This window comes from Homo sapiens, chromosome 16 (genome assembly GCF_000001405.40).
Source record: "Homo sapiens chromosome 16, GRCh38.p14 Primary Assembly".
Lineage (NCBI taxonomy): Eukaryota > Metazoa > Chordata > Mammalia > Primates > Hominidae > Homo > Homo sapiens.
In genome coordinates, this window is record NC_000016.10 from 73,930,940 (window position 1) to 73,942,004 (window position 11,065).

The window sequence follows — 11,065 nt, forward strand, 5'->3', positions numbered from 1 at the left end:
AATGTATTCTAGAATGTAGGTGGGTTGAAAGCTTTAAAAAAAAAAATACACATTTCCTGCAGAATCTGTCTCAGGCTCACAGAATTCAAGAGCTGATGAGGTTCTTATTGCTAAAGGCTGGCTGTATCTCTTCCTGATCAAGGTAACTGAGAAAAAGAAACTTTGCTAAAAGAAAAGAAAATTTGATAAACCACACTCCATCACTGTTCCTCTCTGAAAGATACTAACTTCATCAATGTTTGAGCTCTACTGCACAACTAATTTTACCTGAGGTTAGAATTATACACCCAGAAAGGCCATGTATATATTAATTATAGAGGAACTGGGAAACAAAAATGATAGGTTTAGCTTTGCTATGCTCAGATATATGCATGAATGAAGAATGTGCAAACACAGGATTAAAAATTTTATGAACCCTTCCAACCTTTTCTTTGGGTAACCAATATAATCTAGTTAGGGCATGCCATAGGGCTACGACATATCAACCTACTCAATTTTCAAGATCAAATTTAAATCTTACGAAGCTCTCTCCAAGAATTCATTGCACTGTAAACATACTCACAAATACACATTGCATCAAACATTATACTTAGTAGTGAAACACAGAAAGCATTCCTTTGAAGACAAAAAACAAGGATGACCACTATCACATCTTCTATTAATCATTGTATTGGAGGTTCTAGTCACTACAGTAAGAAAATAAAATGAATTAAAAGTTATAAGGATTGAAAAAAAACCCTTGTCATTATTAGCAAGATATATGATTATGTACAGAGAAATTCCAAAAAATTTAGAGATAAACTAGTTGAGCTTTTAAAATTTTATGGATTTCTTTATACTAGCAATAATTTGTTTTTAAAGTAATATTTTAAAAAGAAACCATATGACATCTCCTTTTAGCATTATGGCTATCCAAAAGCACTGAGGGGGTCCATAACTCACAACTACTATATTCTGAGAGGGACATTTTTTTTTTTTGAGAAAGAGTCTTGCTCTGTCGCCCAGGCTGGAGTGCAGTGGCACGATCTTGGCTCACTGCCAGCTCCGCCTCCCGGGTTCATGCCATTCTCCTGCCTCAGCCTCCCGAGTAGCTGGGACTACAGGTGCCCGCCACCATGCCAGGCTAATTTTTTGTAATTTTAGTAGAAACGGGGTTTCACCATGTTAGCCAGGATGGTCTCAATCTCCTGACCTCATGATTCACCTGCCTCGGCCTCCCAAAGTTCTGGGATTACAGGCGTGAGCCACTGCGCCTGGCCTGAGTAGGACATTCTTAAGGCTTCATTGATCTAACAAGTCATAGAGAGGGTCTCAAAAGATCCAAGACTTCACTCTCTCCACCAAAAACCTTAAGCTGAGGCCACAGCAACATATAATGAGGAGGGACAATGTTACTCTGAAAGCAATGCCAGCTGAAGCACCCAGTCAAGACATTGAGACTTGGGCCAACAAGGAAAGAAGTTAGGCCTGAGACTTTTGCCCTCAACTAAGAACCCCAAAATTGGAACCAGATTAGAGGCATCTCTTGGCTACAGAAATAAGAACTACTTCTTTTCTGAAGAAGTATATCTATGAATTAGGTCTGGAGAACTCTCAATGATTAAGATTAAAAGGTAGATATCACAATAAGATATCAATAAGCATATTATTATAGGAGGCAAGACATTATGAATGAGAGCCACAGACACAACACATGTAAAAGTTATAGACACTCAAATAATGTAAACACTGCACTTTCAGACACAGAAGACAGCATCTGTGGGCAAAAATGCTTAAAGAAGTAAGAGCACAGTTACAATGACCAAAAAAAGCAACAAGAGAGTATCAGCAATTAACAGAAATTTGGGAAAAAAATGGAACTCTCAACATTAAAATATAGCTTTTGAGCACTATTCACAATAGTGAAGACATGGAATCAACCTAGATTCTCATTAATGGTAGACCGGATACAGAAAATGTGGTACATATACACCATGGACTACCACACAGCCATAAAAAATAATGAAATCATGTCATTTGCAGCAACATGGATACAGCTAGAGGCTACTATCCTAAGTGAATTTACACAGGAACAGAAAACCAAACACTGCATGTTCTCACTCATTAGGAGCTAAACGTCGAGTACACATGGACACTAAGAAGGTAACGACAGACACCAGGGCTTACTTGAGGGTGAAGGGAGAGAGGAAGATGAGGGCAGAAAAACTACCTGTCAGGCTCTGGGTGATGAAATAATCTGTACACCAAACCCCCGCAATACACAATTTATCCATATAATAAACCTGCACAAGTACCCCCAAACCTAAATGTGTGTATATGTATGTGTGTGTGTGTGTGTGTGTGTGTGTGTGTGTGTGTGTGTGTGTGTAGCTGTTGAAATAGAGTACTTAATGGTTGGGTTAAATAGCAGATTCATTGTGGCTGAAGAGAGAATTTATGAAATGGAAAATTCACATGAAGACATTATCAAGAATTTGAAAACAAAGAGATGGAGAACATAAGAGAAATGTTAAGAGGTATAAAGGACAGAATAATTGGGTCTAAACTATATCTACGTGGAATACCAGTGAAAGAAAATAGAGAAACTGCAGGAGAGGAAATTTAAAAAGATAAAGGCTGTGAATTTTTAAGAACTAATGAAAAGCTTGATTCCAGTGATTCTAGAATTATAGCATATTCCAAGCCAGATAAGTAAGAAACCCGCACCTAAGTACAATGTAGTGAAACTGCAGAATACCAAAAAGAATACCTTAAGAGAAACCATCAAGAACACTAGAAAACTAATAAAAGAACATTTAGAATTTACTGACTTCTCAATACCCATAAGAGATAAAGAGAATAATGTTTCAAAGTAATGAAACAATTATTATTATTATTATTATTATTATTATTATTATTATTATTATTTTGAGACGGAGTCTTGTTTTGTCGCCCAGGCTGGAGTGCACACTGCAACCTCCGTCTCCTGGGTTCAAGTGATTCTCCTGCCTCAGTCTCCCAAGTAACTGGGATTACAGGCACCCGCCACTGCGCCCGGCTGATTTTTGTATTTTTAGTAGAGACGGGGTTTAACCATCTTGGCCAAGCTGGTCTCGAACTCCTGACCTCATGATCCACCCGCCTCGGCCTCCCAAAGTGCTCGGATTACAGGCATGAGCCACTACGCCTGGCCTGTATAAGGAACTTCTAAAAGTATGCCCTTCAGTCAGGCAAGAGAAAGAAATAAAGGGTATTCAAATAGGAAGAAAGTCAAACTATCTTAGTGAGCAAATAACATGATCTGATATCTAGGAAACCCCATTGTCTCAAACCAATAGCTTCTTAGGCTGATAAGCAACTTCAGCAAAATCTCAGGATACAAAAATCAATGTGCGAAAATTGCTAGCATTCCTATACACCAACAACAGGCAAGCCCAGAGCCAAATCATGAATGAACTCCCATTCATAATTGCCACGAAAAGAATAAAATACAGCTAGGAATACAGCTAAGAAAGGAAGTGAAGGACCTCTTCGAGGAGAACTATAAACCACTGATGAAAGAAATCAGAGATGATACAAACAAATGGAAAAACATTCCATGCTCACGGATAGGAAGAATCTGTATCGTAACAATGGTCATACTGCCCTAAGTAATTTATAGATTCAATGCTATTCCCATTAAACTACCATTGACATTCTTCACAGAATGAGAAAAAAACTATTTTAAAATTCATATGGAATAAAAATAATAGCCCATATAGCCAAGACAATCCTAAGAAAAAAGAACAAAGATGGAGGGATCATGCTACCTGACTTCAAACTATACTATAAGGCTACAGTAACCAAAACAGCATGGTACTGGTTACAGACACATAGACCAAGGGAACAGAACAGAGAACTCAGAAATAAGACTACACACCTACAACCATCTGAAATTCAACAAACCTGGCAAAAACAAGCAATGGGGAAAGGATTCCCTATTTAATAAATGGTGCTGAACTGGCTAGCCATAGGCAGAAGATTGAAACTGAACCCCTTCCTTACACCTTATACAAAAATTAACTCAAGATGGATTAAAACCTTAAATGTAAAACCTCAAACTATAAATACCCTAGAAGAAAATCTAGGCAATACCATTCAGGACATAGGCACGGGCAAAGATTTCATGACAAAGACATCAAAAGCAATTGCAACAAAAGCAAAAATTGGCAAATGGGATCTAACTAAACCAAAGAGCTTCCGCACAGCAAAAGAAACTCAGAGAAAACAGACAACCTACAGAATGGGAGAAAATTTTTTCAATCTATCCATCTGACAAAGGTGTAATATCTAGAATCTACAAAGAACTTAAATTTACAAGAAAAAAAACAACACCATTAAAAAGTGGGCAAAGGACATGAACAGACAGTTCTCAAAAGATGACATACATGTGGCTAAACATGTGAAAAAAAAGCTCAAACATCACTGATCATTACAGAAATGCAAATCAAAACCACAATGAGATACCATCTCACGTCGGTCAGGATGGATATTACCAAAAAGTCAAAAAACAACAGATGCTGGCAAGGTCATGGAGAAAAATGAATGCTTTTACACTGTTGGTGACAGTGTAAATTAGTTCAACCATTATAGAAGACAGTGTGGTGATTCCTTGAAAACCTAGAGGCAGAAATACCATTTGACCCAGCAATCCCATTACTGGGTATATACCCAAAGGAACATAAATCATCGTATTACAAAGATACATGCACACATGTTTCCTGCAGCGCTATTCACAATAGCAAAGATATGGAGTCAACCTAAATGCCCATCAATGATAGACTGGATAAAGAAAATGTGATACATATACATCATGGAATGCTATGCAGTCATAACAAGGAGTGTGATCATGTCCTTTGGAGGGACATGGATGGAGCTGGAAGCCATTATCCTCAGCAAACTAATGCAGGAAAAGAAAATCACATACCGCATGTTCTCACTTATAAGTGGAAGCTGAATGACGAAACCACAAGTACATACGTGGTGGGGGAAAAGCACACACTTGGGTCTGTCAAAGGGTTGGGGGGTGGGAGGAGGGAGAGCATCTGAAAGAATAGCTAATGGATGCTGGGCTTAATACCTAGGTGATGGGATGATCTGTGCAGCAAACCACCATGGCACATGTTTACCCATGTAACAAACCTGTACATCCTGCACATGTACCCCTAAACTTTAAATAAAAGCTGGACATTTTTTTAATTTACATTTTTTTAACTTGTATTGAAAAAATGATTGTGATTCTAATTGGGATTGTACTGAATTCATACATCAACTTAAATATTTTTAAGAATCTGTAAAGTACTGATTTTTTAAATCCAAGAACCACACTTCCATTTGTCAATGTCTTTTTTAGTATGTTTCAGTAAAACGTGATAATTCTCCTATCAAAAAAGTATGCCCAGCCGGGTGCAGTGGCTCACGCCTGTAAACCCAGCACTTTGGGAGGCCAAGGCGGGTGGATCACGAGGTCAGGAGATCAAGACCATCCTGGCTAACACGGTGAAACCCCATCTCTACTAAAAATACAAAAAATTAGCCGGGCGTGTTGGCACATGCCTGTAGTCCCAGCTACTCGGGAGGCTGAGGCAGGAGAATTGCTTGAACCTGGGAGGTGGAGGTTGCAGTGAGCTGCGCTCCAGCCCAGGTGACAGAGCGAGACTCCGTTTCAAAAGAAAAAAAAAAAAAAAGTATGCCCTTCAAGAAGAAGGAAAATAACCCCAGAAAGGAGGCTTGAGATACAAAAATAAATGGTAAGCAAATAAAAAGAAACATGAACGTAAATGCAAACAAATAATGTCCATAAAAGTATTCATACCGATGATGATGATGTATAAACTGTGGTACTAACAACAAAAGGTAGAATTAAACTATTTTGACAATGATTGTACATGACTTTTGAGGAACAAGATAAGAGTTGTAAGAACAATGACTTGGAGAGAAGATTAAGATATTATTTAACTACACAAATGGACAGCAACAACAAAGTTCAAACAATCAGAAGATAAGGCAAGGAAGGAAGGTAAAAGGAGAAAGGAAATAGCAAGAGAAATACAAAACAGATGATGATAGAAATATAACCAAGGAAGAAAGGGAGAGTTATCATCTTATGGGTATAGACTTTTGGTCTCATAGGAGGAAGAATTTCTAGAGAATAGTTGCACAACAATGTGAATATACTTAATATTACTGAACTCCACACTTAAATGGTTAAGATGGTAAATTGTATGTTATGCATATGTTTACCAAAATTAATTTTTTAAAAGAATAGGAAACTCTCTTCTGCTAGTATGAATGTTAAGTAGTGCAGCCATCTTAGAAAAAAAAAAAAGTTTGGCATTATCTAGTAAAGTTGGTGTCCAAACTCTATGATGTAGGAGCTCATTTCTACATATGCCTTAGAGAAACCCTTGCGTATGTAACCAAAAGACATGTACATGTAACTGAACTATAACCAAGTATACTTGGTTAAAAAACTGAATCCAAGATGTTAATCATTAACAGTGAGTAGACATTTTTAAAGATATTTGGAAAAAAATCAACATCTAGAGGCTTCCAGCCATGTAGAATGCTTGTTATCAGACTTGTGCTTCCCTCTACTATATACAACTAGGAACTGGGTAGAACATATGAAGCATTGACGTAATGATGGGAAAAAACATATGACCAGCTCAATGTGAAAAAAAATCTGACAAAATGCAACATCCTTTCAAGATAAAAATATTCAATAAACTCTGGATATAAGGAAACTATCTCAATATAATAAAGTTCATGTATGAAAAGCTCATAGCTAACATACTCAGTGATGAAAGACTGAACTTTTTTTCCTCTAAGATCAAGACCAAGATGAGGATGCTCAGTTTTGCCACTTCTACTCAACATATTAATAGAAGTGTTATGTTGTATATTAGAACTCCTAGCCAGAGCAACTGAGCAAGAAAAAAAAATAAAAGGCATCCAAATTGGAAAGGAAAGAAAATTGTCCCTGCTTGCAGACAACATGATCTTATATGTAGAATACCCTAAAGATTACACGTGTGCACACATGCCTACACATACAAACTGTTAGAACTAGTTAACTTCACGTGTGCACATGTGCCTACACATACAAACTGTTAGAACTAGTTAACTTCAAAGTTGCAGGATATAAAATCAACACACAAAAATCAGTTGTGTTTCTATAAACAGTTGAACAATCAGAAAAGGAAATTAAGAAAACAATTTTATATACAGTAGCATCAAAAAGAGCAAAATACTTAGGAATGAATTTAACCAAGGAAGCAGAGGACTTATACACTGAAAACTCAAAGGCACTGCTGAAAGAAATTAAAGACAACACAAATAAATGGAAAGTCATCCCGCGTTCACGGATTGTTAAGACTTAATATTGTTAAAACAATCTACAGGGTCAATATACTTCCTACCAAAATCCCAATGGCGTATTTTTTTCAGAAATACAAAAACCACCTAAAATTTATACTCAGGGTCTCAAAACCCTGAATAGCCAAAACAATCTTTTTTTTTTTTTTTTTTTTTTTTTTTTGAGACGGAGTCTCACTCTGTTGCCAAGCTGGAGTGCAGTCAGCTCACTGCAACCTCTGCTCCCAGGTTCAATCAATTCTTCTGCCACAGCCTCCCAAGCAGCTGGGGCTACAGGCACGTGCCACCGTACCCAGCTAATTTTTGTATTTTTAGTAGAGACAGGGTTTCTCCATGTTGGCCAGGATGGTCTCGATCTCTTGACCTCATGATCTGCCTGCATGGGCCTCCCAAAGTGCTGGGATTACAGGCATAAGCCACCATGCCCGGCCAACCAAAACAATCTTTAAGAAGAAGAGCAACATTGGAGGTTTCACACTTTCTGATTTCAAAACTTGCTAGAGAGCTATGGTTATCAAAACAGTGTGGTCTTGGCATAAAGAGACATATAGACCAATGAGATAGAATAGAATGCTCAGAAATAAACTCTTGCATATACAATCAAATGATTTTTGACAAGGATGCTAAATCCATTCAATGGTGAAAGAATAGTTTTTTCAACAAGTGGTGTTAGAAAAACTAGAAATCCACATGCAAAAAAAATTAAGTTAGAGCATTACTTTACAACATAGACAAAATTCGAAATGAATTATAAGACCTCAAACCATAAAACTCTTAGAAAAAAACAGAAAGGAAAACTTCATAAAATTGGATTGGGCAATGATTAAATATGATACCAAAAGCACAAGCAACGAAAGTCAAGGTAGATAAATTGGATTACATCAAAATATAAAACATCTGTACAAAGGACACAACAGAGTGAAAGACAACCTACCAAATGGGAGAAAATATTTACAAATCACCTATATGTTAAGGGGTTAATATTCAGAATAAAGGACTCTGTAACTCCACAACAACAACAAAACCCACACAACCTGATTTTTAAATGGGCAAAGGAGTTAAATAGACATTTCTCCGAAGAAGACACACAATTATTGAAAAGATGTTCAATATTATTAATCATTAGAAAAATGCAAATCAAAACAACGAGTTATCACCTTACACCCATCAGAATGGCTACCATCAAAAAGAATATGAAAAATTTACAACCCCTGTGCACTGTTAGTGGAAATGTAAAATGGTGAAGCCACTATGGTAGATGGTTATGGCAGTTCCTCAAAAAAATAGAGTTAGCATAGGATCCAGCAACTCCACTTCTGGATATATATCTAAAAGAACTGAAAGTACAATCTGAAAGAGATATTGGTCATCCATGTTCACAGTAGCATTATTTGTAACAGCTAAAAGTGGAAGCACCCAAGTATCAGAAGAACCAAGTCAATGGATGAATGGATAAACAAAACATGGTAGATACATACAATGGAATATTATTCAGCCTTAAAAAAGGAAATTCTTACATATGCTATAACACGAATGAAACCTATAAAACTGTCACGAAAAGACAAATACCATGATTCTACTTATATGAGGTATTTACAGTAATTAAATTAATTGAAGCAAAAAGTAGAATGGCAGTTGCCAGGGGCAGGCAGCAGGAAGAAAGGGAGAGTTATCATCTTATGGGTATAGACTTTTGGTCTCATAGGAGGAAGAAGTTCTAGAGACTAGTTAAACAACAATGTGAATATACTTAATATTACTCAACTCCACACTTAAATGGTTAAGATGGTAAATTGTATGTTATGCATATGTTTACCAAAATTAATTTTTTAAAAGAATAGGAAACTCTCTTCTGCTAGTATGAATGTTAAGTAGTGCAACCATCTTAGGGAAAAAAAAAAAAAGTTTGGCATTATCTAGTAAAGTTGGTGTCCAGACTCTATGATGTAGGAGCTCATTTCTACATGTGCCTTAGAGAAACCCTTGCGTATGTAACCAAAAGACATGTACAGGAGTATTTTGGTATGAATAACAAAAAAATCCAAATGACTATTAACAGTAGAAGGGATAAATTGTGGTCTATTAATAAAATGGAATAACATACAGCAATTAACTTGAGTGAATTATTAGCTGCATGCAGCAACATCAATGAATCTCAAAAATATATTGTTAAAAAATGAAGCACTTTACAGAAGAATACATGCCATGTAATTTTACTTATTTATTTATTTATTTGAGAAACTGATGTTTATTTTCCATCAACCATTTTTCCATGTTGCTTAAGAGCCCATGCAGGGACAGCTTAAGACCATTCAGTGGTTGCTCCTACCCATTCAGTGGCCTGAGCAGTGGGAGCTGCAGACCAGTCTTCCGTGGCAGGGTGAGTGCTCCAGTCTTCAGTAGGGAACTGCTGAATAGGCACAGAGGGCACCTGCACACCTTCAGACCAGTCTGTAACCTCAGGCTGAGTAGCAGTGAACTCAGGAGCTGGAGCAGTCCATTCACCCTGAAATTCCTCCTTGGTCACTGCCTTTTCAGCAGCAGCCTGCTCTTCTTTTTCAATCTCTTCAGGATCTCTGTAGAAGCAGAGCTGAGGCATGACCTCCCAGGGGTGTTCATGGGAAATGGTGTCACGCATGCGCAAAACTTCCCGAGCCGGCATCTACCACATCAAACCCACTGAGTGAGCTCCCTTGTTGTTGCATGGGATGGCAATGTCCACACAGCACAGAGGAGAATCTGTGTTACACAGAGCAATGGTAGGTAGGTTAACATAAGATGCCTCCGTGAGAGGCTGGTGGTCAGCCCTGGGTTCAGTAAGCACAAGAAGCGGTGGCTCCGGGAAGGCTGCCTGGATCTAGTTAGTGAAGGTTCCAGGAGTAAAGCGGTCAGCAATTGGAGTGGCTCCAGTGGCAGCAGCAAACTTCAGCATGGCCCTCTGGCCAGTATTCCAGGAGGATATAACACTGACATCACCAGGGTTTTCAATGGCAACAATGGCACGAGCTGCCAACGGAAGCTTCTCCCAGGTCCTCTTCAGATTTATGATGTAGATGCCATCACTTTTCCTTTTATAGATGTACTGTTCCATCTGGAAGTCAAGTTTGGTGCCACCTAAGTGGGTTCCTGCTGCAAGGAACTGAAGGACATCCTCCTCCTTCATTTGCAGGACATCAGGGGCTCCAGACATTGCGAAAGTTTCCCTTTAAGTTACGACGGGAATCCAGAACAACGCTGTATGGACACCTCTGTAGGTAGTGCGGAAAAGCGTAATTTTATTTATATAAAGTGCAAAAAACCATGCAAAACCAAGTCATACATTGTTTATGGATACATATATGTATTATACAAATTTATATAAAATCAAAGGAAGAATTAGTGAAAGATAATGGCCACCTCCAGGGGACAGGGAAGAGTGTACACACATAAATAAAATGGATACATGGGTATTTGTTGTATTAGTCATATTTAAGTTCCACATATACATAATTTTATATTCTTTTATATGCATGTTTCACAATTTTAAAAAGTGCTCTTTTCATACTTCATAGTGTGTTATAGCTCTAGTACAGCAAGTTATATTCCCGGTGCTGCCAAAAAATTATGAACTTTGAGATTAGACAAGTAATTATTTAAGATACAATCCCTGCTCTAAAAGAGTTCATGGTGA

General features: G+C 37.7%; 1 long non-coding RNA gene and 1 pseudogene across 1 annotated transcript; one reads left to right on the top strand and one right to left on the bottom strand.

Moving 5' to 3' along the window:
• RPSAP56 (ribosomal protein SA pseudogene 56) lies at positions 9,628 to 10,663 on the bottom strand (annotated as a pseudogene).
• LOC124903721 (uncharacterized) lies at positions 10,064 to 10,844 on the top strand. Its single transcript, XR_007065118.1, has 2 exons — positions 10,064 to 10,154; positions 10,473 to 10,844. It is a non-coding gene; the product is annotated as an uncharacterized LOC124903721 (long non-coding RNA).
• Positions 10,845 to 11,065: the final 221 nt, after the last annotated feature.